This window comes from Homo sapiens, chromosome 15, assembly GCF_000001405.40.
Source record: "Homo sapiens chromosome 15, GRCh38.p14 Primary Assembly".
Taxonomy (NCBI): Eukaryota; Metazoa; Chordata; class Mammalia; order Primates; family Hominidae; genus Homo; species Homo sapiens.
The window spans coordinates 85302012-85329824 of record NC_000015.10 but is presented as its reverse complement, the minus strand read 5'-3'; the positions used below and the strand labels follow the sequence as shown (position 1 = coordinate 85329824).

General features: G+C 41.4%; 5 annotated features.

The window, feature by feature from the left end:
- Positions 49–238: an enhancer, noted in NCBI's record as "active region_10007". NCBI's record gives its function as "activates an Ori minimal core promoter by ATAC-STARR-seq in GM12878 lymphoblastoid cells {active_cell/tissue: GM12878}" and the evidence as "EXISTENCE:reporter gene assay evidence [ECO:0000049][PMID:35858748]".
- Positions 11221–11320: an enhancer, noted in NCBI's record as "active region_10006". NCBI's record gives its function as "activates an Ori minimal core promoter by ATAC-STARR-seq in GM12878 lymphoblastoid cells {active_cell/tissue: GM12878}" and the evidence as "EXISTENCE:reporter gene assay evidence [ECO:0000049][PMID:35858748]".
- Positions 16875–16954: an enhancer, noted in NCBI's record as "active region_10005". NCBI's record gives its function as "activates an Ori minimal core promoter by ATAC-STARR-seq in GM12878 lymphoblastoid cells {active_cell/tissue: GM12878}" and the evidence as "EXISTENCE:reporter gene assay evidence [ECO:0000049][PMID:35858748]".
- Positions 16975–17154: an enhancer, noted in NCBI's record as "active region_10004". NCBI's record gives its function as "activates an Ori minimal core promoter by ATAC-STARR-seq in GM12878 lymphoblastoid cells {active_cell/tissue: GM12878}" and the evidence as "EXISTENCE:reporter gene assay evidence [ECO:0000049][PMID:35858748]".
- Positions 27220–27299: an enhancer, noted in NCBI's record as "active region_10003". NCBI's record gives its function as "activates an Ori minimal core promoter by ATAC-STARR-seq in GM12878 lymphoblastoid cells {active_cell/tissue: GM12878}" and the evidence as "EXISTENCE:reporter gene assay evidence [ECO:0000049][PMID:35858748]".

Sequence of the window (27813 nt, the reverse complement as noted above, 5' to 3'; positions counted from 1 at the left end):
GAAACAGACCCAAAGCCAGCAGTTTCAGTTCCCTCAACTTAATTTTACTAATGTGATAGAGAGGCAGCAAACATCTGCAAGGAACCAGAAATCCTTCCTTTACGTGTGCTGTAATCTAAAACAGTTTCTCAACCGTGGTGCCGCTGACATCTTGGGCTGCCTAACAGTTTGCTGACCAGGAGGCCGAGTGTCCTGTGCACTGCAGGCTGTTTGGCAGCATCCCTGGACTCTACCCACAAGATGCCAGCAGCACTCCCAAGCTATGACAACCCAAAATACCTCCAGACATTGCCAGATGTCAACTTGAGGGGCAAAATTGCCCCCTGGTTGAGAATTACTGGTGTAGGATAGATAAGGTAGAATCTGTCAGTTCTACAGAATGTCTACCTTCCCCATAGGGAAAGAAAGTTTTTTCTTCATACTTGTGGTAATTTCCAAACGTTTCTGTAATAAACATGTTTTACTTTTATAGTTAGAAACAACTATTTGGAAAAAGAAAATAAAATGTTTTAAGAAGAGTTTCATCATTCTCATGCTAGAAAAAAATATATATATATATACGTATTTTGAGACAGAGTCTCCCTCTACCAGGCTGGAGTCCAGTGGCGCGATCTCGGCTCACTGCAAACTCTGCCTCCTGGGTTCAAGCAATTCTCCTCCCTCAGCCTCCTGAGTAGCTGGGATTATAGACACCTGCCACCGTGCCCACCTAATTTTTGTATTTTTAGTAGAGACGGGGTTTCACCATGTTGTCCAGGCTGGTCTGGAACTCCTGACCTCAGGTGATCCATCCGCCTCAGCCTCCCAAAGGGTTAGGATTACGGGCATGAGCCACCACACCTGGCCCTTAGTGAACTGTTTCTCAGTGAGACACCACCAAGTGAAATTTCCAGATAAGTGAAGCTAAGTCATGTGGGTTTATATTCTGTGCTTCTTCTAATTCTTTCCGGCTTCTAGAGAAAAAGATCTGAGATTGTTCATATGCAGCAGGAAAGAACATCGTCTACCATGGGTTTGGGTGTAGGGTGGAGGTGCCATTATGCTTGCTGTGGATTTGTCTTTTTAAAAACTGAATTGCTATCTTTCCTTGCACCCCAACATTTGGTTTGCTCTTAATAAGGCGGTAACTGTGGTCTAATGGAAAGCACGTTGGCCTCGGGGTCTGAAGATCTGAGCTGGAATCTCAGCTATGCCACTTACTATGACCTTGAATGAGTGGGTCATTGACTCTCCCCTCCTGAGCTTGGACTATGAGCTATTCATTCCCAGCTCATAAGGTGTGTGTGAGGATTAGAGGAGATGACAGATGAAAACATCTACTTAGTATCCAGCTTATGGGGAGTGCTCAATCATTTATGTGCATTTATACAACCCTTATTTATTTATCCATCCAATAAGTAGGTGACATAAATCTGGGGGCAGGGAATATGATACTGTACTGAATACTTAGAAAATTTCCAAAGATGAAAATAGGGCCCTAAAGGGGTTTGTTCAGGAGAAAGGAAGCATCCTTTCCTTTAGGTCAAACATCCTCTCAAAGCGAAGGTATATTTAGAAGCCTTCAAACTGGCTTCCTGCACTAAGGGAAGAAATATTTGCATTTGTAGAGATGACTTATTAGGGAAGCTCTAATAAGTTCTCACAGTGTGGCTCCTTGATCAGCATCAGCATCACATGAGAACTTGTCAGGAATGAAATGACAAAGGCCAGCTCCTAAAACTCAATCGATTTGTAGGTAAAATACTCAGGCCCTCGCTCATAGGCTTGGTTCTTATCAGATGCTTTTAATCCATAGCAGAGAAAAAACAGCAAATAGGAAGTGAAGTGGAGCTATTAGAAGGTGGACCAATAAAGGCAGAGATAAGATGGCAATCGATGGAGAAAATTCAAATACTAAGTCCAGACTTAAGCTCTTTAAATGTAGGTAAACAGCAACATACTTCCTCAATAGCCTATGGTCATTACTTAATATTCTAAAGGGAGATATCTGTAGTGCTGGCCTAGAATCATCAAGAAAAACTTAAACCATGTTTTTGTGTTCTGTTTAAAATGGTAGGATGGTATGGATTTCAGAAAGACTTTTTTTTTTTTTTTTTTTTTTAGATAGAGATTCACTTTTCTTGCCCAGGCTGGAGTGCAATGGCGCATTCTTGGCTCACTGCAACCTCCGCCTCCCAGGTTTAAGAGATTCTCTTGTCTCAGCCTCCCGAGTAGCTGGGATTACAGGCATGTGCCACCACACCCAGCTAATTTTTGTATTTTTAGTAGAGATGGGGTTTCACCATGTGGGTCAGGCTGGTCCCAAACTCCTGACCTCAGGTGATCTGCCCGTCTCGGCCTCCCAAAGTGCTGGGATTACAGGCGTGAGCCACTGCACCCGGCCAGAAGACTTTTTTAAAATAAAAAATATACTTCAAATAACATTTGAGTACTTTAAGGAGTTAGCTTTACTTATTTGGGAATTTCACTTTGTGGCATGCTTCCTTCCCCCAAGAAACTGATCAATGAGGCATCACTGTAACTTGTTGAGGTCAAGTGCTATTTCCCATACTTTTACCCACTCCTGTTTGACCACACTGTAAGAACTCAATAAATATGTGTTGGTTGATTAAGCTTCCCTCTGGGCATTGGGAAAAAAAGGGGGTAAACTCAATTGTTTTATAGTTATCATGCTGTTGCCACAATGCCTGATTATTGCTTTTATCTTCAAAGCCCAATGTTCCCTGCTGATTTCTGTATTGTTTGCTTCTTTTCTTCTTTGCAGAAAATGAAATCTATGCATGGAGTGCAATCTTGCTGAGAACAATTTGTTTCCTTTCTATATTGTCTCTCCATGCCCTGCTCGCTCCCTTCAGGTACTAATCATAATTATAGTGCTTGAAGATTCAGTGAATTTCATCATTCCTTGTTACCAGCTATGAAAATCATTGATCGTTTCAAGGATTGGCTATTTGTTGAGAAGACTTATTAGGGAAGCCCTAATGAATTCTGAGAGCATGGTCCCTGGACAAGCAGCATTAGAATCACTTGGAAGCTTGTCAGAAATGCAAATTTTCAGGCCCCACTCAGACCTACTGAATTAGAAACACAAGGAATGGGGCCCAGCAATCTTGGTTAACAAGCCTGCCAGGTGATTCTGATGCCTGGTCAGGTTTGAGATTGGCTGTTCTGGAGTACCATCCTTCATCTCACCTCTTACTGTACCAAAGGAAGTGGAGTAGGGGTTGGGGAGACAAGTTGTCCTCAGTTCAGAATATTTGGAATATAAACCTACAGAGATAACTAAGCTTAGTAGAAACAGCACAGGCTGAGATAAACCTTGGCTTAAATTCTGGCTCTGCCTACATGTCTTTGAGCATAGCATTAATACACCCTAAAATGTTATTAACCATTTTGTGACTCAGTGTCCTTAATGCTTTGCAGAAGCTAAATGTTAGTTCTCTTGCCCTTATGTTGTTTAGGCACTAGAAGTGTTTCCACTTGGAAAAATGTGTCTTCCTATGAAAACCATATTTGGTGCCCAGAACCAAATGTATCTGAAATACTAACTTGGCTTTATACTTTAGGTATATTATGGGTTAAAAACACACTTAACAGGCTTTTGTGTGCTGGCTTGGGAACTTTATTATCCATTTATTTCATCATTTAGTCATGCCTTTTAAAAAGCACAATACAATTTCCCTATGGTGAAATATATTCCAAGTTCCAAAAATATAATTTATACATAACTTTTGTGACATGCTCTGTCCATTTGATGTCTCTATGCATCCATTATATCTTTAATGTAATCCAGATAGTCAAACTCAAGGAGCAGGGATTTGGAAGCTCCACAAAATGAGTATCTTTCCTCAATACTAGTAAATAGTCTTTGTAACTAAGTAAAACTCAAAAGCTGTGACTTGTTTTCACTACTGACTACGCTCAGCTGAAAACGAAGAATAAGACATTAGGGCAAACCTGGGCTGACTGAGGCATGGAAGAAAATGGAAACACAGAGTTTGGGCACCTGTTTGGCCATGAAGCCACGTCCATTGTCTCTAGGGTAAGTTCTCACTGAGCCTCCTAGCACCTTAGCCACCACATCATAAGGTGACTTCAATGCTGTAATTCAAGGGCAAGAGCTCTAGACTTTTGAAATGAACCACTCATATCTTTTTTTTTTTTTTTGAGACGGAGTCTCGGTCTGTCGCCCAGGCTGGAGTGCAGTGGCGCGATCTCAGCTCACTGCAAGCTCCGCCTCCCGGGTTCACGCCATTCTCCTGCCTCAGCCTCTCAGGTAGCTGGGACTACAGGTGCCCTCCACCACGCCCGGCTAATTTCTTTTTGTATTTTTAGTAGAGATGGGGTTTCACCATGTTAGCCAGGATGGTCTCGATCTCCTGACCTGGTGACCCGCCCGCCTTGGCCTCCCAAAGTGCTGAGATTACAGGCGTGAGCCACCGCGCCCGGCCCATATATATATTTTTTTTTTTCTAAGAGGAAATGCACAAATGGTGAGAAGAGATCTCAGCTTTTGTTCCAGATCTGTAAGTTTTCTCCTCTTTAAAATTGGCCTGAGCCAGGCGTGGTCCCAGCTAGTCGGGAGGGACCTGTAGTCCCAGCTAGTCGGGAGGCTGAGGCAGGAGGACGGCTTGAGCCCAGGAGTTTTAGGCTGCAGTGAGCTATGATCACACTGCTGCACTCCAGCCTGGGTGACAGAGCAAGATGTTGTCTCTAACAACAACAATAACAAAATTGGTCTGTGAAAATGTAAATGAAGACTGCTAATTTGTGTGAAGCAGTGTGGTTTAGTAGGTAGTGTGTGCATGAGAGGCAGAGGATCTGAGTAACCCTGGCCTTATTTCTTGCACATAATCTAATTTTTTTTTTTTTTTTTGAGATGGAGTCTCGTTCTGTTGCCCAAGCTGGAGTGCAGTGGTGTGATCTTGGCTCACTCCAACCTCCACCTCCTGGGTTCAAGCGATTCTCCTGCCTCAGCCTCCAGAGTAGCTGGGAATACAGGTGTATGCCACCATGCCCAGCTAACTTTTGTATTTTTAATAGAGATGGGGTTTCACCACGTTGGCTAGGCTGGTCTCAAACTCCTGACCTCAGGTGATCCACCTGCCTCGGCCTCCCAAAGTGCTGGGATTACAGGCGTGAGCCACCGTGCCTGACATAATCTGATCTTTGACAAGTTATGTAACCTCTTTCAGCCTAAGTTTTCACATCTGTAAAGGAGTAATAATAATATTAATGATACTCAACCTTCCTAATTCCCAGGGCTATTGTTGTAAGGAAGAAATAAGATGATGTATGTTAACATCTTAACCAGTCTATACGGACATGGAATATTTATCTAGGAAAAAAACCTAGAAAGCCATCAAGTGGAGCTTTTTCGACCACAGGGGGCTCTTTTGATAGCAGAATGAACAGGAAGTAACCACAGATGGAATGGACTTGCATAATGAGAGAGATTTTTTCCAGCCAACATTTAACCCTTTTTCCTGCTTACAGCCAATGACTTTTCATAGCTGGAGAAGGTGTTCATGTATATTTCTCACAGGTACTTTTAGGGGAGTTTCTGCAGAGGGCATTTGTATGGAACTTTTCAACAGTTAGTGGGAATAAATTAGGGCAGTAGAAATACAGTTGAAGAATCTGACCTTGAAAAACTGTAAACGGCAAAGCCATACAAAAGTGAACCTAGTGAAACAGTAAAGTTATGTTTGTCCTGTCACTCATGACTGTGCTTACCCGTCCCGAGGTCTGAAGATTTAGTCTCTGAAGGGATCAAACAGAGAAGCCTCTGGATGGGATGCTCGAGACTTATTTGTGGATGTGAGCACAATACCAGTGAATGCCATGCCAAAAACAGGGATTGAATGGCTATATGCACACTCAATTCAGAATGAAGGCCAGGCATGGTGGCTCACGCCTGTAATCCCAGCACTTTGGGAGGGCAGATCACTTGAGGCCAGGAGTTGGAAACCAGCCTGGCCAACATGGCAAAACTCTGTCTCTACTAAAAATACAAAAATTAGTTGGGTGTGGTGGGACATACCTATAATCCCAGCTACTTGGGAGGCTGAGACATGAAAATCGTTTAAGCCTGGGAGGTGGAGGTTGCATTGAGCTGAGATTGCACCACTGCACTCCATTCTGGGTGACAGAGGGAGACTCTGTCAAAAAAAAAAAAAAAAACCCAAAATGAAGGGACTCATTGTCTTGTTCCTCCAACCAGAACATTGGTACCAAGGACATTACCTCTAGGCAGGAGGATAGAAGGCTTTTCTTTAAGAAATTGACCAGATCAAGAAAAAAATGCCTACATATACTGACATCAGTGTTTTACCCCAACAGGTACCATCTATACAATCCTATAATGAAGTTCAAAGTCAACAAAGCTCATCATATGCTCAGAGTTTCAAATCAGGTTTTCTTCTCTACTGGGTAGTATAAGTAGATGGCCAAGAAGTGCTAGTTATCTGAGAAAGTCTCTAACATGATAGGTTGGGATGAAACAAGCAAAAAACCCACAACAGCTTAAAGAATACACAGGCAAGACAGGAAGAAAAGAAAGTAATAGAAAATAACCTATTATTAAAACCCTCAGAAGGAAAGGAAAGGATACTCCATCTATGGAAAAAAAACCAAGATGCTATCTATAAAAAGAAATATTTGGAGGACAAAAATGTGCTTCTGGAAATTAAAAACATGATACTAGAAATTAGAAACTCAGTAGAACAAAAGGAAATCAGCTAGAAAGTAGAATAAAATATATAGAAATAGAAACTAAGCTAAAAATGTAAGAAAGTTAAAGGATCAGGAGATCTAATATCTGAATAATGTGAGTTTCCAGAGTAAAAGAACAGAGAACACAAAGGGGAGGAAATCATCAAAGAAATAGTTCAAGAAAATTTCTCTGCATTAAAAGACATGAGTTGTCAGATTGGAAGGATCTGTTGAATTTACAACAAAATGAGTAAAGAGAGATTTACAACAATGCACCTGTTGTGAAGTTTCAGAACACTGGGAACAAATAAGTTTCTACAATCTTTGAAAGGAAAAAACTTTATCTTTTTTTGTATTTATCATACAAAGGATTGGTAACAAAAGTGGCTTTGAACTTTTTAATCACAACCTTGAAGATAAGAAAATAATAGAGCAGTGCCTTCCAAATTCAGAAGGAAAATTATTTCCATTCTAGAATTCTATATGTAAACTATCACTTCAATTTGAGAGGTGAAAAACTACTTTTTCAGGTGTGTAAAATCTGTAAAACTGGGTCTTAGGCAACCTTTCTTAAGAGGAATTAGGAGATCCAGTTAGAAGAGAGTCCCCTGGAGGATGAGAAGATCCCAGAATGAGGGCTGTGCCAGTGGTGCAGATTAGAAGAGTAGACTAGAGAGACAGATTGAGTGCTGTCATCCACAATTCCCCTGCTGACATTTACTTTTTTTTCAATTTAGGAAAGCATGCCTGGGTTTCATATTAGCTTCTAATCTTGTCTTGACCACATATTGATGAAATTCCTACATCACTGCTGCTTAGACCTTCTAAGGTCATTTATTTCACCCCACAGAATTTTTCTGTTTTCACTGACTCCTGAAGGCTAGTTGGCAAGTACTGGGGTCAGGTCACGGCAGGTTTAGAAGCAGAAAATACTCAATTCAGAGTACAGTCCATCCATTCAGAATGCTAGACATCCTTTGCCTGACCCACAGGACAGTCCTGTCTGATGGCCCAATTGTGGCAAGCCCTGTTACTGAGGACTCACTGGTATGCCTGGCCCTACGACTTCACCGGAAGGGGCTCTCATAAACATTCAGGGCAGCTGGAGACAGAGCGTGACCTGGAGACTTCTTCAGCTTTTCTTTTCTTGGAAGCCTTCATCTAAAAGTGGTGATATTATCTGTTTTTTTTGTTTTGTTTTGTTTTTGAGACAGAGTCTCGCTCTGTGTCCCAGGCTGGAGTGCAGTGGTGCGATCTCGGCTCACTGCAAGCTCCGCCTCCCGGGTTCACGCCATTGTCCTGCCTCAGCCTCCCGAGTAGCTGGGACTACAGGCGCCCGCCACCGCGCCTGGCTAACGTTTTTTGCATTTTTGGTAGAGATGGGGTTTCACCGTGTTGGCCAGGATGGTCTCCATCTCCTGACTTCGTCGTCCGCCCGCCTCAGCCTCCCAAAGTGCTGGGATTACAGCCGTGAGCCACCGCACCCAGCCGATATTATCTGTTCTTTACAGGGCTAGGGTTGTGCTGACTACTGAGTTTTTCAAAATGAAACAATTATTTTTTAGGGATACATACATTTGTGCTACAACTTAATAAAATGCAAAGGAATGCTTAACATTAAAGTCAGAACAGTGGTTAATTCTCTGGGGAGTGAGGGAGAACAGGGTGTAATTAGGGAAGGGCAGGGAGTAGACTTTAAAATGACTTATAATGTATTAATATTTCTCAGCCTAGGTGATGGGTACATTGTTGTGTAATTCGTACTATTTTGAAAGTGTAGGTTGGGCCTGGTGGCTCACGCCTGTAATCCCAACACTTTGGGAGGCCGGAGCCGGCAGATCGCTTGAGTTCAGGTGTTTGAGACCAGCCTGAGCAACATGGAAAAATCCCATTTCTACAAAAAATGCAAAAATTAGCTGGGTGTGGTGGCATGTGCCTGTAGTCCCAGCTACTTGGGAGGCTGAGGTGGGAGGGTCGCTTGAGCACAGAAAGTTGAGGCTGCAAGTGAGCCAAGATTGCATCACTGCACTGCAGCCTGGGCAACTGAGACCCTGTCTCAAATGAAAGTGTACATATACATTTAATACATTTTTGTCTATTATCTATATTGTAATACAGTTTTTAAAAATTATTTTTAATTTTTATGGATACATAATAGCTGTATGTATTTACGGGGATACATGTGATATTTTGATACAAGCATATAATGTGTAATGATCAAATCAGGGTAACTGGGATATCCATCACTTCAAACATTTATCATTTCTTTGTGTTAGGAACATTCCAATTCTACTCTTTCATTGATTTTGAAATATGAAATAATTATTGTTAGCTATTGTTTCCCTATTGTGATGTCAAACACTAGATCTCATTTTTTTTACCTAACTGTATTTTTTACCCATTGACCAACTCATCTTTGTCCCTGACCCCACTACCCTTCCCAGCCTCTGGTAACCATCCTTCTACTCTCTATCTCCAAGAGTTCAATTTTTTTTCTGCTCCCCCATATGAGTGATAACATGTGATATTTGTCTTTTTGTGCCTAGCTTATCTCACCTAACATAATGTCCTCCAGTTCCATCCGTATTGTTGCAGATGACAGTATCTCATTCTTTTTTCATGGCCAAATAATATTCCATTGTGTATATGTATCACATTTTTTGATCCATTCATTTGTTGGTGAACATTTAGGTTGATTCTCTACCTTGGCTGTGAATAGTGCTGCGATAAACGTAAGTGCAGATAAGAGCGCATAAGAGTGTAGATATCTCTTCGATATATTGCTTTCCTTTCTTTGGGTGTATACCCAACAGTGGGATTGCTGGATCGTATGGTAATTATATTTTTAGATTTTTTGTGAAACCTTCATACTGTTCTCCACCTTGTCTGTACTAATTTGCATTCTCACCACCAGTGAATGAGGGTTTCCCTTTCTCCACATCCTTGCCAACATTCATTACTGCCTGTCTTTTGGATAAGAGCTATTTTAACTGGGGTGAGGTGATATCTCATTGTAGTTTTGATATGCATTTCTCTTATGAGTAATGAGATTGAGGATTTTTTCATATAACTGTTGGTCATTTATATGTCTTTTTTTTTTTTTTTTTTGAGACAGGGTCTTGCTCCATTGCCCAGGTTGGAGAGCAGTGGTGTGATCTCAACTCATTGCAACCTTCACCTCCCAGGTTCAGGCAATTCTCCTGCCTCAGCCTCCTGAGTGGCTGGGATTACAGGCACATGCCACCACGCCCAGGTAATTTTTGTATTTTTAGTAGAGATGGGGATTTTGCCATATTGGCCAGGCTGGTCTCGAACCCCTGACCTCAAGCGATCTGCCCGCCCTGACGTCCTAAAGTGCTGGGATTACAGGCGTGAACCATGGTGCCCAGCCTCGTTTGTATGTCTTCTTTCGAGAGATGTCTATTCCGATCTTTTGCCCATTTTTAAATTGGATTTTTCTTTTTTTGCTATAGAGTTGTTTGAGCTCCTTATATATTGTGGTTATTAATCCTTTGTCAGATGGGTAGTTTGCAGATATTTTCTCCCCTCTGTGAGTTGTCTCTTCACTTTGTTGATTGTTTCTTTTGCTGTGCAGAAACTTTTTAGCTTGAGATGTTCCCAGTTGTCCACTTTTGCTTTGGTTGCCTGTGCTTTTAAGGTCTTACTCAGGAAACATTTGCCCAGAGCAATGTCCTGGAACATTTCCCCAGTGTTTTCTTTTAGTAGTTTTATGGCTTCAGGTCTTAGATGTAAGTCTTTAATCCATTTTCATTTGATTTTTTTTTTTTTTTGAGACTGAGTTTCGCTCTTGTTGCCTAGGCTGGAGTGCAATGGCATGATCTCGGCTCACCGCAACCTCTGCCTCCTGGGTTCAAGCGATTCTCCTGCCTCAGCCTCCTGCATAGCTGGGATTACAGGCATGTGCCACCACGCCCAGCTAGTTTTGCATTTTTAGTAGAGACAGGGTTTCTCCATGTTGGTCAAGCTAGTCTCGAACTCCCGACCTCAGGTGATCCGCCCGCCTCGGCCTCCCAAAGTGCTGGGATTACAGGCATGAGCCACTGCAATTGGCTGATTTGATTTTTATATATGGTGAGAGATAGGGGCCTAGTTTCATTCTTCTGCATATGGATATCTAGTCATAATAGAGTTTTGAAATACAAATGGACCCAAAGTTATGCAGCAGATGGGGGATTCCTAGAGTGGATGCTTGGGTTATGTTGAGCTCCAAACCCCAAGGCTTAAGGTAGAATGATTTTGGTTCTGATAGACGGAGGAAACTCCCAATTCCTTAGTATTAAATTCTCCTAGGAAGCTATTTTCTGACTTGCAGTGCCCTGTTCTGCAAGGATCGAGTCACAGGAAACATCAAGAAAGATGTGGTTAGTTCTTTACCAACTGCTGGACTGCTGGAATGTCCTCTGCCTTGATTCAGATGTTACTGGGGTGGGAGGGAAGCCCCTAATTATAGTCAGTTACTGACTCATATCCATACTTTGCTCATGGTTATTTCCTCTGAGAAGAAAATATGTGGTATTTTTGCCTAATGGGTGCGTATGTGTGTGTTGTTTATTATCTCTCCACAACGTCTTTACATGACCTTTAGCTGTAGGGTTGGGCCTTCCTAGGAGCTCTTAAGTCAGCTCCAGCTGTGCACACTGCTGCTGGATTGCTTTCACAGGCACACCCAGAATGTGGGTGTGGCATTGAAATACACAGCTCTCTGGGGTGTCATTTCACACTACCTGCTGTGGTCAGTAGCAACTGAACAGGATCTGGAAGCACACCTGCTCCTAGGAACTAGTCAGGACTCCCTAGGTTACAAGGAGCAGAAACCCAATGCACAGATTTAAAGGCAAAAAAGACTTACTGGCATATGTAACTGCATAGCATTGGAGGAGATTCAGGTACAGCTGGATCCAGGCCCCCACAGGATCATTGGAAGCTATTTCTATCTGCTTTCTTCTGTATTGGCCTCTTTTCAGGTGCACTCTCCCCCATCTGGTGGCCTGGGGCATATACAGTCTTCTGTTAATATTTTACTTGCTTATTAACTCCAGTATTTTTTATATACTGAGTTCTTTTTGAATGCTCTCTCTCTCAATAATTCCAGCAAAGGTTTGGAGACTTTTAATGGTCCAGCTAGGGCTATGTAACCATCTCTGAAGCAATCACATTGGCTAGGGCGGTAGAGTGGTCTCACCAAGAGGACACACATGCCCACCCCATTTCTGAGGCAGGGGCTTAGATCCACATGACACGGATTGAGAAAAGAAAGGTAGCTTTTGTTATAACAACTATTTGTACATACAAACTTCTCTGGAGTTAATTTTAGATAACTAATTTTTGAATACAGCGAAGTTTGAAATGATAGATTATAAACCTAATTTGTGAACATCGTCTTCCTACCTAACCGTATTTTATGAATTTCCACACTTAATGAAAATATGCTTTAAAAACATAGAAGTTTTCAATTCAAATGAGTAAGAAAGTTTCTGTACCGGGCATGGTGGCTCATGCCTGTAATCCCAGTACTTTGGGAGGCTGAGGTGGGCAGATCACTTGAGGTCAGGAGTTTGCGACCAGCCTGGACAACATGGTGAAACCTCATCTCTACTAAAAATACAAAAATTAGCTGGGCGTGGTCGTGGGAGCCTGTAATCCCAGCTACCTGGGAGACTGAGGCAGAAGAATCACTTGAACGTGGGAGGCAGAGGTTGCACTTAGCCAACATCCTGCCACTGCATTCCAGCCCGGTCGACTGAGCGAGACTCCGTCTCAAATATATATATATATATATATATATATATATATATATGTTTTTTTTTTAATAAAGCAATTGGGCAGCAACAGAGCGCTTATGTCTTTATATCGAATGGAAGAAAAACCCAATAGAAGAAATCTACTGCTTCTGACAGATCTTAGGGCATAATTTATTCAGACTTGGGGCCTTGAGTTCAATTTGATTCATTGAAAGCTCAGGAAACATTTTGGTTTGGTTTAAAGACTTGCCCATTTAGTTTTCCTACTGAAGGGATTTCTAACACAGTACCTGGAAAAAGAAAGTGTTTCTAGATTGAAGGAGTTTGCTGCAAATCTTCTCTCTTATTAAAGAAATACTCGTATTTCTGACTTCATATTTTCCCTTCTCTGAGGGGGCTTGTATTCTCTTTCATTGCACAGGGGTAAGATGCATTTTGGAGATGCGTTGCTTGATTTTAACTTCTGGCTCTGTTTCTCTGACTGTGACTTCATCAGAAAGCTAGTCACTCAGTGCCTTTCTATGCTTCCATTTCCTCATCTGTGAAAACCTACATAGGATAACCTACAGAAACTACTTAGGATGGTGCCTGGCACGTAGTAAGCCCTTTATTGGTGTTTGCTACCACTATTGTTATTTCATGAGCTCTCAAAGCACACAACCACAAGCCTGTTTTACTTCTGGTTGAGATGAAGCTTGGAGGGCAGAGGGCAGACGCCTGAAGCTAAGCAGCTTATTAAAAGTAGAATAGAAATAGATGAGAGGAAACCAAAGTGCTTTTCTCTTTAGATAGTTATCAAAGCACGCTTCGCTGCAGACTATGGGCTTGGGTATGGCCAGAGATCAAAGGCCCTCTTATGTGCAGTGACATTTCTGAGCACAGGGCTGAGTTATAAAACCCTTGAATGGAAGGTTTTGGAACTTGGAACACGGCTTGGGCTAGAAGGGCAGGGTTTTTATAGAGGCGATTCATGGAAGCGCTTATGCTGGTGAAGAACCCAGACTGTTATGACTCACTTGTCTCTTTATTGCTTTGGACCAAGAACTGTTGTTTCCTTTTAAGTGCCCCTGTAGGAGATGAGCTACAGACTAGGGCCAAGATAACTCTTGCAGGAAGACAGAGTGGCTTCAGTGAGTGTGAACGGGAATACCGCCTTGTTGGGCTCTGGGTCAAGTGTCCTGGACGAGCAGAATAAGGATTTTATTTTACCAGGGTAGAATTGCTTTTGGAAACTGGCAGCATCCTTAAAATCTTAAACTTCAGATAAGCTTTCCTTTTGTCTGTCTGCCATTTTCATTCTCTGAAAGCCCAAACTAAATTTGATGGTGTGACAAGTAGAGGACAGAAGAACAACTTTGGAAAGTAGAAATTAATGTGTCTGGGCTGCTACATATAGAACTAGGGATAGCAGAAGGGGTCATTTGAAGTCCAGGTTGCCTGAGGTCCTGCTAGATCTCCTGGGAAAAACTGAAGGGGACTTTTGGACTGATGGTGAGGCCTCGTGCGGTAGGCAGACTCCTAAGATATATTGCAGTGCTCTCTAACTCCTGGTCCTTACCTCTTTAGGTAAGCTCCTCCCCTTGTGTTCAGGCCAGACCTATTGACCTGCTTCTCATGAATGGAATATGACAAAAGCAATGGGATGTCACTTTCATGATGAGGTTGCAAGAGGTTGTGATTTCTACTTTGCTAGGAATCTCTCTTGCTGCTGCTTTCTCCTCTCTATTGACTTCTTGGCTTGTGTGCTTTGATGCTGAAACCAGCTGCCATGTTGGAGGAACCTGCAAGGCAAGAAATCCAGGGCAGCTTCTAGTCAGCATCCAGCAGAGAACTGGGTCCTCAGCCCAACGGCCCAAAAGGAAGTGAAACCTGCCAACAGCCACCGGATGAGTTTGGAAGTATATCTTGTCCCAGTTGAACCTTGTGTTGACTGTAGCCCAACTGGAGTAATTTTCAATGCAGCAATAGATAAAGAATATACCAGGTCAGTAAAATGTACTGTCTTGAACAAGGAGGGAAACAAAGATTACCCTCAAACTCTGGGGCTTTGGATACTCTTTATGAGTTTGGAACTTATTGTGAAGTAGCAGATCATCCAGAATTCAAGGAGACAGTGGTTCTTGGTCCCTGGGAGATCCTAGGTAATGTTATGGTCTCCAATACAGTGCTTGGCAGTTATTCCAAGACATTTGAGAAAGGATGCTAAAGCCAAGAGTGCCAGGATTGCTTTGGAACTCCTAATTGAAGCTGAAGTCACTGGTTGGGAGAAAATCTCCTCCTTGGTGAACAGGAGCAGGAAGTATTAAGTGTGGGGAAAGACAGAGGCAAATCCAAGTCTTTATTTATTTATAATTCTGGTTTCAGAATGGAGCTACCACATGGTCAGGAGGAAGAGACTCACAAAGAAAGATGAAGGTTGCAGAGAGGTGCTATGGAAATAGCACATGCTAAAGGAGTCTTCTAAGCAGCCCAGAGGCGATGACATACCAGTGCCAGCAGAGGAGGAGAACCACGCTTCAGTATAACAAAAACTTCAATGAATCATGCTCAATGTGGAAAAGTCGAATAGACATGGCTGAGGATAAAAGAAAAGAACGTACACATAATCTCACTACCCAGAGAGAAGCAATGTTGACATATTTCTCTTCCTCAATGCATATTTATATATTGTTGATATTTTTACTGTCTGTGCAATTTTGCTTTAATTAAACATTTAGATTATGAAATAATTCAAACATACCAAAACAATATGTCACCAAGTGTGGCAGTTTGGATTAAGATGGGTGGCAATAGAATGAGTTCCTCTTCATTCCAGGCAATAACATGGGCTTAGACAAGAAAGACATTTATTTTTCTGTCACCTAAACTGTGTCTGTAGATGGTCAATCCAGGGCTGGTTTGGCAGTTCTATATCATCAGCACTGGGGATGCAACCTCCACCTCTCTGGTGTGCCATTCTTGGGATGCCTTTGCATTTGCAAGATGGTTGTTGGAACTCCAGAAATCTCACCCACATCCTACCCCATAGGAATTCCTCTTTCTCTCTAAAGAAACTCCCAAGAATGTTTATACCACACTTTCATTCATATCTTGTTGGCTAAAATGTAGTAACGTGGCCACATCTAATTGCGTGATAGGTGGGAAATGAAGTTTTAATTCAAGATGATGTGGCCAGCTAAAAAATTCTTTGCCAGGCCGTGGAACCAACAACCAGATTTAACATATGATGTCACTTCACTAATTTGGATCTCTTTTTTTTTTTTTTTTTAATTTATTTTTTTATTGATATAATTTGGATCTCTTTAAAAATTTTTTAAATTAAGAAATGAAGAGTTAGGCCAGGTGCAGTGGCTCATGCCTGTAATCCCAGAACTTTGGGAGGCTGAGGAAGGTAGATCGCTTGAGCCCAGGAGTTTGATACCAGCCTGGGCAACATGACAAAACCCTGTCTCTACTAAAAACACAAAAAATTAGCCAGGTGTGGTGGCATGTGTCTGTAATCCCAGCTGCTTGGGAGGCTGAGATGGAAGGATCTCCTGAGCCCAGAGAGTTTGAGGTTGCAGTGAGCTGTGATAGCCCCACAGTACTCTAGCCTGGGTGACAGAGTGAAACCCTATCTCAAAATAAAAAAAAAAAGAAATAAGAGTTAAAGATATAGATAGACTCTACTTTCACCAAGGATATAGAAAGCTAAAAAAGTATTACTCCCACATAACAAGAAAAAGCCAGATAAACTGCAACATTATAACTTTTCTTAAACCCATCTGAGAATTCAGTTTGGAGGGTGACTAAGCAGCCTGAAATCCAAGCAAAGACCGGCCCCTCTGAGAAGAGAGAAGATCCACACATTAGCTCCCCTTTGGGCAGAGCATGGGTGGTAGAAACATTGGGTACCATATTAGTAGGTAAGAAGTCAACTAAAATTTGTAATGATTTGGTAAAAGCTGAGTATGGGCTACAGTGACAGTATAGAAACCTTGGGATCCCAGACACCAGGGAAGTTCACACTTAGTAGTAGTTTCTTCTCCATGGACTTCTGTTGATTGCTCACAAGAAAGATTGAGTCACGGAGGGAGAACAGAAAGTTCTCTAGTTGGTTAAGAACTGAAGGATGGAGGAAATTGGTCCCTGCCACAGGAGACTCCTCCCCTATGGAACCAAAGCCATGAGCTATTGAAGGAGAAGCGGCCAACTGAGAGGTAGCACCACATTGAGGGAGCACCACAGGGAGCTGGGGGAAAGGTCAAAGACAACATTCTTTCTATGCCAGGGAAAGGGGTAGGAAAACATTCTAAGTATGAATGCTATACCAATACAACTAGCAGCCTCCTACTGGTGGGGAAAGTGCAGGAAGTTATGTCTTGCACAAGAGCTAAAGAAGAAAGCAGAATTTGGCTTACAGTGGGGAAGAAAGGCAGGATCAGTAAGAAAGTCATACCTCTGAGACCCAGGCACAAACAGCTTACCAGTTTAACAGAAAATCCTCTTCTTTCCAACAGAGAATTCCCCCTTCTGTCCCTCCCCCTGCCCCACAAAATCAGGTGAGCAAGCACTGAGTTTCAAGCATTTCAGCTTACTACTGCGGAAGAGACAAGAGCATGGGAGGAGATCCTCTGTGTAGTGCACACACATGGGAAGGCTGAAAGCTAAGCGTGGAGTAGAGATGTTTAGAAAAACCCTCCGGCATCCAGCCCCCGTACCAAGCACAAGGTCACACTAGAGGAATCTGAAGCCACTGGTTCACTAGTTACACTGAAGGTAACTATAGCAACAAAATCCCCTTCTCAGTTCCTGACCAGATTGACTCACCCTCCCTGCCCCACTAATAAGCTAATTTTAAAAACTTGTAAATGTGGCGGGGTGCAGTGGCTCATGCCTGTAATCCCAGCACTTTGGGAGGCTGGGGCAGGTGGATCACCTGAGATCAGGAGTTTGAGACCAGCCTGGACAACATGATGAAACCCTGTCTCTACTGAAAATACAAAAATTAGCCAGGTGTGGTGGTGCGCGTCTGTAATCCCAGCTACTCGGGAGGCTGAGGCATGAGAATCACTTGAACCCGGGAGGCAGAGGTTGCAGTGAGCCGAGATTGCGCCATTGCATTCCAGCCTGGGTGACAGAGCAAGACTCTGTCTCAAAAAAAAAAAAAAATGTGTATCCATTTTCAGGCACAAGTGCTATTTATCTTCATCTTTATTCTACACACACTGTCCAGCAGTCAGTAAAAAAAAAAAAAATTACAAGATATACACATAAGAAAAAAAGCCTGATTAAGGATGAATAAAACCAATTTATCTATTTTTAGTTTTAGTTTTTAAAAAATTTCAATAGCTTTTGAGGTACAGATGGTTTTGGGCTAATGGAAGAATTATATGGTGGTGAGTTCTGAGATTTTAGTGCACCCATCACCTGAGTAGTGTACACTGAACCCAATATGTAGTTTTTTTGTCCCACAACCGCTTCTTACTCTCCCTGTTCAGAGGCTCCATAGTGCAGTATATCATTCTGTATGCCTTTGTGTCCTCATAGCTTAGCTCCCACTTATAAGTGAGAATGTACCATGTTTGATTTTCCATTTCTGAGTTACTTCACTTAGAATAATAGCCTCGAATTTCATCCAAGTTGTTGCAAGCATTATTTTGTTCCTTTTTATGGCTGAGTAGTATTCTATGGTGTATATCACATTTTCTTTATTGACTCATTAGTCGATGGGCACTTAGGTTGGTTCCATATCTTTGCAATTGTGAATTGGGCTGCAATAAACATACACGTACATTATTTTTTCATATAATGACTTACTTTCCTTTGGATAGATACCCTGGAGTGGGATTGATGGATCAAATGGTAGATCTACTTTTAGATCTAGATTTCTTTAAGAAATCTCCACACTGTTTTCCATAGAGGTTGTAATAATTTACATTCCCAGCAGCAGTGTATAAGCATTCCCTTTTCACTACTTCCACACCAACATCTATTTTTTTGACTTTTTAATAATGACCATTCTGGCAGAAGTAAGGTGATATCTCATTTTGGCATTAATTTGCAGTCCCCTGATGATTACTGATGTTGAGCATTTTTTCATATGTTTGTTGGCCATTTGTATATCTTCTTTTGAGAAATATTATTCATATTTTTTGCCCACTTTTTGATGGGGCTATTTTTTTTTCTTGCTGACTCGTTTGAGTTCCTTGTAGATTCTGGATACTAGTCCTTTCTCAGATACACAGCGTGCAAATATTTTCTCCTAATCTATGGGTTATCTGTTTACTCTGCTGATTATTTTTTGTGCTGTGCAGAGGCTTTTAAATTTAATCAGGTCTCATTTATTTATTTTTGTCGCAGTTGCAGTTGCTTTTGGGGTTTTAGTTATAAATTCTTTGCCTAAGCCAATGTCCAGAAGAGTTTTCTTAAGGTTACCTTCTAGGATTTTTATGGTTTTGAGTTTTAGATTTAAGTCTTTGATTCACCTTGAGTTAATTTTTGTATAATGTGAGCAATAGGGATCCAGTTTCATTCTTCTAAATGTGGCTAGCCAGTTTTCCCAGCACCTTTTATTAAGTAGGGTAATCTTTCTCCAATTTATGTTTTTGTATGCTTTGTTGAAGATCAGTTGGCTGTAAATATTTGCCTTCATTTCTAGGTCCTCTATTCTGTTGCATTTGCCTAAGTGCCTGCTTTTATACCAGTACCACGCTGTTTTGGTATCTATAGCCTTGTAGTATAACTTGAAGTCTGGTAATGGGATGCCTCCAGATTTGTTCTTTTTGTTTAGGATTGCTTTGACTATTCTGGCTCTTTTTTGTTCCATATGAATTTTAGGATTGTTTTTCTAATTCTGTGAAAAATGATATTGGTATTTTGATGAAATTGCATTGAATCCATAGATTGCTTTGGGCAGTATGTTCATTTTCACAAGATTGATTCTTCCAACCCACAAACATGGGATGTGTTTCCATTTGTGTCATCTATGATTTCTTCCAACAGTGTTTTGTAGTTCTCCTTGCAGGTACCTTTCATTTCCTTGGTTAGGTAAATTCCTAGGTTTTTTGTTTTTTGTTTGTTTGTTTGTTTGTTTTTTTTTTGCAGCTGTTGTAAAAGAGATTGAGTTCTGGATTTGATTCTTAGCTTGGCCATTGTTGGTGTATAACAGCGCTACTGATTTGTGTACACTGATTTGGTAATCTGGGACTTTACTGAATTAATTTATCAAATCTAGGAGTCTTTTGGAGAAGTCTTTAGGGCTTTCTAGGTATATGATAATACCATCAGTGAACAGTTATAGTTTGAGTTCCTCTTTTCCAATTTGGTTGCCCTATATTTCTTCCTCCTGTCTGATTGCTCTGGCCAGGACTTCCAGTAATATATTGAATAGAAGTGGTGAAAGTGGGCATCCTTGTCTTGTTCCAGCTCTCAGGGGGAATGCTTTCAACCTTTTCTTATTCAATATGGTTTTGGCTGTGGATTTGTCATATATGGTTTTTATTAATTTGGGTACTTTATTAACTTGAAAATTTATTAAGTACTTTCTATGCCTAGTTTGTTGAGGGTTTTTTAAATCATAAAGTGATGCTGAATTTTATCAAATCCTTTCTCTGCATCTACTGAGATGATAATATAGTTTTTGTTTTTAATTCTATTTATGTGATGTATTACATTTATTGACTTGCATATGTTAAACCATCCCTGCACCCCTGGGATGAAACCAACTTGATTACAGTGTGTTGTCTTTTTGATGTGCTGTTGGATTTGGTTAGCTAGTGTTTTATTGAGGTTTTTGCATGTGTATTCATCAGGAATATTGGTCTGGAGTTTTCTTTTTTTTGTTATGTCCTTTCTTGGTTTTGGTATCAGGGTGATACTAGCTTCATAGAATGATTTAAAGAGGATTCCCTCTTTCTCATTCTTTTGGAATAGTTTCAGTAGTATTAGTACCAACTCTTCCTTGAATGTCTGGTAGAATTCAGCTATGAATCCATCTGGCCCTGGAATTTTTTTTTTGTTGGCATTTTAAAAAACGTACTGATTCAATCTCATTGCTTGTTAGTGGTCTGTTCAGGGTTTCTGTTTCTTCCTGATCTAATCTAGGAGGGTTGTATGCTTCCAGGAATGTATCCATTTCCTCTAGGTTTTCTGTTTTGTGTGCATAGAGGTGTTCAGAGTAGTCTCCAATAACATTTTGTATTTCTGTAGTGTTGGTTGTATGTCTCCGGTTTCATTTCTAATTGAGCCTATTTGAATCTTCTCTCTTCTTTTCTTGGTTAATCTAGCTAATGGTCTATCAGTTTTGTTTATCTTTTCAAAGAATCAGCTTTTTGTTTCATTGATCTTTTGTATTTTTTTGGTTTCAATTTCATTTAGTTCTGCTCTCATCTTTGTTATTTCTTTTCTTCTTCTTCTTCTTCTTCTTCTTCTTCTTCTTCTTCTTCTTCTTCTTCCTCCTCCTCTTCTTCTTCTTCTTCTTGTTTTCTTCTTCTTCATTTTTTGAGACAGAGTCTTACTCTGTCATTCAGGCTGCCGTGCAGTGGCATGGTCTTGGTTCACTGCAACCTCCACTTCCTGGGTTCAAGTGATTCTCGTGCCTCAGCCTCCTGAGTAGCTAGGATTATAGGCACTCATCATCATGCCTGGCTAATTTTTGTATTTTTAGTAGATATGGGATTTCACCATGTTGGCCAGGCTGGTCTCGAACTCCTGACTTCAAGTGACCTGCTGTCCTCGGCCTCCCCAGAGTTCTGGGATTACAGGTGTGAGCCACTGTGTCCAGCCTAACTGTGTTTTTTTTAAATTTCTTTTCCCCCCCTTAAGGATGTGACTTAAATGTTTATAGTTTATTGTAACCTAATTCAGGAGTGAAGGCTTTGTATGCTTTCAGGGGTGCTTTCAGGGGTGAAGGCTCTGTATGAGTTCCTTGGTTGTAGAGTCTTTGGATGATGGCTTATTCAGATGCTGGTTGTAGTAGCACTGTGCTCAGTGCGTGAGCAAGTTCACTGTCTCCCATAGGATTGGAATGACAGAGGTCTCTTGAAGCTTATCTCATTCCCCCATATTATGCACTTCTTTATTTATTTGTCCCCAAGTATTTTATTTACTGGGTTGAATAGTCCAGGCTTCAGACCAAAAGGGGAGCTAGGCCATGGGTGAAAACCAGCTGTGGCTAAAGCAGGTGGGTAAATGCAATAACCAATGATGGACAGAGGTCCCTGCCTTGACAGAGATGGCTGGGGGAACTCTCAGTGAAGCATGCTGAGGTCTTATCAGAAGGAAGGACTGGAGCCACCTCAGCTCTTCTGCCAGGCCAGCAGGAGAGCGATCCACCTCCCAGACAAACTCTTGATCCAGTGTTCTGGCTATTTAGAGCAGATAAGCACCTCTACTCATCTGCAGGAATGTTGATGTTCCAAGCAGAGAGGAATTGTGACTCTGTCTCTTGTGCAAGCCTGCACCTGGAGGGTGCTCCTCCAGTAGGGATGCAGTCACCCTGAAGTGTTCCAGAGAGGCTGTCTAGAGGTGCACCCACACTGAGTTCCCATGGGAAAAGCCCCAGCTGTGTTTGCAGTGGTGAATGAGGTAGAAAAGAAATCCCCCTCTCCAAGGCCCTTCACAAACACCAACACTGCCTGACTTGTCGGGGGAGAGCTACAGATTTTCCCTGCTGATCCCACCACTGCAATTGTGCCTCTGCTGAAGGAAACTTCCCACCAGCAGAAAGACCCGAGACTCAAGGCTTGCCACCTGGGTTCTTTTGTCCCACAGGGTGTTCCCTTGATGGGGTGCATTCCCCCTTCCTTTAGGAGTGGGAGGCCCTGAGAGCCAGACTACTGTGAATGCTGTTACTCCTCTGAGTCTAGCCACCCAATGCGGCTGCCACACTGTAGCCTGGTACTAGGGAATATCTGCAAGGGATCCAGATTTATGACCTGCTCTCAAGTCTCCCAGTAGCAGGTACCAGCACCAGCTCTAACAGGAGTGGCAGGGGAGTGACATAGACTCAGAGATTCCTTGGTTATAGAAAGTCTTCGTGTATTGGCTTCCTCAAATGCCCATTTGGGTAGTAATAAGTAGGTCACATGGGCAGATTCAGGACCTCCTGGTTAGCCAGAGTGGTGCAGGCAATGGTGATGGCTGGGTTCACACACAAGTTTTCTCCTTCCTGGGCACAGTGTTATTCTACCTGCAGATGCTGTAATGGACGGTGTGAGTTGGCCTCCAGCCAGGAAGTGATGCTTGCCAAAGAGCACCAGCTATAGCAGAAGTGATGGGATTTGTGCTTGCCTTATGCTACCCAGGGCTGGTACTTTGGATAATCAGGCAAGGGGTGGGGCCATAAAGCTCTGAAAAGTTTCTGTTTTTTGTGCTCCTAAAAGTTTCTGTCTTTCGTGTTAAGCTACCAGGGCAGGTGGTGGGCAAAGCAGGTGGGGGCTGGGTCAGGCAGGTCCATGTTTTGACTCTTCACATGTGGTGCTAGCAGTGGCCCCTGTGGGAGTTGTGGAGGTGGTTCTTTGGCCATTGGGATCATGTTCCAGAGAGGAGCATAACTGCATCTGCTGCATAGAAGAGTTCACGTAGGGAGTGGGGAGTAACAGGCAGCAGTAAGCCCCACCCAGCTCCCGTGCACTTGGCAAGGCAGATCTCTTACCTGCAGTATTCTGCTAGCAGCAGCCAGCTAAGTTCCTGGCCATCTATGCTTAGAACTCAAAACTTCCTTGGGCCATAAGCCTTCCCCTGTGGAGACAAGAACCATGGCTTTCAGGCCATGCCCCTGCCAGTCTGCCTGCACAGCCGGGGCACCCGGCTCATTTGCTCATGCCTGCAGCACACTTCCCATTCGCTCCCGGGTTCTGGCCAAGGGAGTTCTTCCCCACTCGAGGTTATATCGTGAAATTCAGTTGGGAGCTTCTTTTAATTAACTCAGGCAATGGCTGCTGCCTGAGTAAGTTGGCAGACTTTTGTGAGGTCTCCTGTGTGGCAGAATAAGGAATGGCTTCCCTTGGTCGATGCTGGAGACTGGGAGTGCATGCAGAGTTCTTCCTGCTGCCGTTTGTGCTTTAATATTCCTCTCCACTCTCAAAATCAGTTCCAGTGTTGGTTAAGGCCTTTCCCTGTGGCCTAGATTACCAGGTTCCCTGGTGGGGGTGTATACCCTGGAGGCAGTCACTTCCCCTCTCACATTCTGGGGACTTACAGTTTTTTTTTTTGTTGTTGTTGTTGTTTTGTTTTGTTTTTAACCTGGCTGGTGCCATAGGCTGCAGCCTGCTACTTTAAAAAAATAATCTGTGGGCCAGGTGTGGTGGCTTATGCCTGTAATCCCAGCACTTTGGGAGCCCAAGGCAGGTGGATCACTTGAGGTCAGGAATTTGAGACCAGCCTGGGCAACATGGTGAAACCCCGTCTCTACTAAAAATACAAAAATTAACTGGTGGTGATGCATGTCTGTAGTCCCAGCCACTCGGAAGGCTGAGGCAGGAGAATTGCTTGAACCCGGGAGGCGGAGTTGCAGTGAACTGAGATTGTGCCACTCCACTCCAGCCTGGGTGACAGAGTGAGACTCCATCTCAGACAAATAAAATAAAAATAATCTGTGGATTTTAGTTTTCCTGTTTAGTTCCTGCAGTGTTCCTTGGGAATAAAGTCACAGGGTGAATATATACAGGCTATTTTGTCTTTCCAAGTGGGAGTGACATGTGAACACTACCTCCAATCTGTCATCTTGGAGAATAAAAGCAATCCTAAAGACTACCTAGATGTTGAGACTATCTGGGAACTTAAAATAACTATGATTAATATGTTAAAGGCTCCATTGGAAAATGGAAACAACATGTATGAATAGACGGATTTCAGTAGAGAGATAAAATATATGAAAGAGTCAAATTTAATTGATAGAAATAAAAAACAAGGTAACAGATATGAATTATGTCAATGAGCAGTTCAGGAGACTTTACATTGCTGAGGAAAGAATATATGAACCTGAAGACAGGTCGTTAAAAATTATGCAAACCAAAACCCAAAGAGAAAAAAAAGTAAAAACCCCAGAGCACCCAAAAGCTGTGAGACAATATCGAATGGTCTAACATAAGTGTAATTAGAGTACCAGAAGAAGAAGAGAGAAACAGTGAGGTAGGAGACATAAACTATATTACTCACCCCATTTTTTCTTCTTAAAGCTAACCACTTATCCTAAAGTGAGTGTGTATTACTTCCATCCTGTTTTAATACTTTTTAGTATAGCTAAATGTACCACCAAATATGTGTATATGTTCAGACCTGAATGGATTTGAAACAATGGAGTTGCTTTTGTTTTTAAATGTATATAAATGGCATCATGTATCGTTTTTGTAATTTACTTTTTTAAATTAAAAATGAACATTCATTAAGTTTTACTGGATAGTATCCCATTATATAGTTTACTTATTCCCCAAATGATAGAAAAACTGGTTTATTTTAGTTTTTACTATTATAAAATTATATATATAATATAATAATACATAATATATTATTATATATATAATATAATAATATATAATATATTATTATATATATAATATAATAATATATAATATATTATTATATATATAATATAATAATATATAATATATTATTATATATATAATATAATAATATATAATATATTATTATATATAATTAGTTTTTACTAATATAAAATTATTGCAATTCTGCAATAAATATATTTACACATGACATTGTGAACATGTGAATTTCATAATGTATTCCGCAGTGTGCAATTCTGAGTTGAGAAAAAGCAGTTTTTTTTTTTTTAGAAGAGTCTCGCTCTGTCACCCAGGCTGGAGTGCAGTGGTGTCATCTCAGATCACTGCAACCTCCACCTCCCTTCAAGTAATTCTCCTGCCTCACCCTCCCAAGTAGCTGGGATTATTGGTGCCCACCACTATACCTGGCTAATTTTTGTATTTTTAGTAGAGATGGGGTCTCACCAGGTTGGCCAGGCTGCTCTCGAACTCCTGACCTCAGCTGATCTGTCTCTGCCTCCCAGAGTCCTGAGATTATAGGCATGACCACCGCGCCCCACAAGAAAAAGCAATTTTCAATATTACTATGGCCAAATTGTTCATTAAAGTGGTTAAACTGATTTACACCTCCACTAGCAGTGAATAATATTTCTAATTCTTGACATTTTCATAAACACTTAGTATTATCAGACTCTTAATTGCTGCCAAATTATAGGTGTAAAATTATTGTTGTTTTAATTTGCATTTTCCCTGAACATCTTTTTTTTTTTTTTTTTTTGAGACAGTCTTGCTCTGTCACTCACGTCGGACTGCAGTGGTGCCATCTTGGCTCACTGCAACCTCCACCTCTTGGGTTCAAGCAATTCTCATGCCTCATCCTCCCAAGAAGCTGAGATTACAGGCATCCGCCACCACACCTGGCTAATTTCTTTTATATTTTTAGTAGAGACAGGGTTTTGCCATGTTGGCCAGGCTGGTCTCGAACTCCTGGCCTCAAGTGATCTGCTCACCTTGACCTCCCAAAGTGCTGAGATTATAGGCATGAGCCACTGTGTCCAGCCCTGAATATCTTTTTGTACCTTTATTGGACATTTATGTTTCTGTTTATGTAAATTCCATGATCATATTATTTGCCCATTTTTAATGGCATTGTTTGTCTTTTTCCTATTATTTTGCAAGATACCTTTATCCCAGTTGATTAGTCTTTGTTTATTATATGCTTATCTGTGGCTGGCCTTTTATTTTTGTTATGAGCTCCTTTTTATACAGATATTAGAATTTTAATTTGTAAAATTTAACAATTGTTCTCTTTGTGTTTTTGCTGCCTTATGAAGTGCTTTTTTACTGTAATATCATAAAATTACATTTTCCTCTATTTTCTTCCCAAGTGCTAGAAATATTGTTTTTCACATTTGCAAGTTGTTATATGTGAGATAGGGTCTCATTTATCATTTTCTTCATGAAGCCAATTGTCCTGGTACTATATTTTTAATTATGCTTTCTTTCCCCAGTGTTTTCAAATATCACTGTTGTCAAGTTTCAAGTTGCCACTTATATGTGGGTGGGTCTGCTTTTAGGCTTCTTATTCTGTTCTCTTGGCCTGTTTTTCTGTCTTGGTGCCTCTTCTATTTTCTTCACTTAACATTATTTCATGGGAATATATGAGGAAATTTAGAGGTGGCCAACAGTGTCTGGACCACTGAGAGAACAGCTGTAAGAACTAGAGTGTTTATTTTTCTTCCTTTTGGGGCTTTATTTTTAATTGACAAATGATAATTGTATATATTTGTAGGGTATAATGTGATATGTCAATACATGTATGCGTTGTGGAATGAGCAAATCAGGCTAATTTTGAGGAATTATGATTCTTGATGAGCTTACTGGGCATAGACTGGAGAACCAGTGACTACTCCAAAACCCTCTGGATCACTGCTCTCATTAAATATGATGAGCAAGCCACATGGCTGGCGCTGTAAGTGTGATGACAGGCTTTGGGGAAAAGGAAAGGGGAACTTCAGCCTGTTCTCGTCCCATATTCTTTCACCTGAAAGTTTATTTGAATTATTGAAATTCTTACCATAGCTTAGATTATTAAAAATTAAACCTTCTGGTGGAAGAGGCAACATACTTACGTACCAGAGTAGGGAATTGTTTTAAAGAAACACAAATGTTCCCCGCTTTTTTCTCATAAGGTAATAAAAAGTGAAGGTGGAAGAAATCTTTGAGATCCTCTAGTACAGGTCGCCCAGATGGAATTTTAAGAAGTTTGTTATACTGATGTACTGTGTTCTTAGGACAGTTGTGGAGGAAGAGCAAGAGTCATTTTAAGTCAGAAGAAAGTGATTTCACTAATACTCCCTGGCTCGCTTGACATTTGTCTTCTGAAGTTGGAGGGTCTAGGGCAGCTCTATGACTCATACCTGAAAAGTCTAAAATCAGGAGGCCATGGTTGGAGATGTTCCTGCCTGGCAGCAGAGTGACAGGTGATGGCTGTACCCTGAGCCACACTTTCACTAATAATGGGCAAAGATGCCTGTTTTTAGAGCTGTGGAAAGGAAGATTTGAACTGGAATAAATTTATATTATTCATATTACATTGGACTAGTCCCAAATTGTGTAATTATTAGGTTATTTGAAATTTTATGCAGGAATAGGGAAGAAACTGCAGAGAAAGTTTGAAGGGGTGGGGAGAAATAATCAAGTTAGTTTTTTTTTCTTATACTCCTTTGGGTCCTGCTTAATGAAAACACTAGTTAAAAATGAATCTTCAGGTCAGGTGCAGTTGTTCACACCTGTGATCCCAGCACTTTGGGAGGCCAAGGCGGGTGGATCACCTGAGGCCAGGAGTTCGA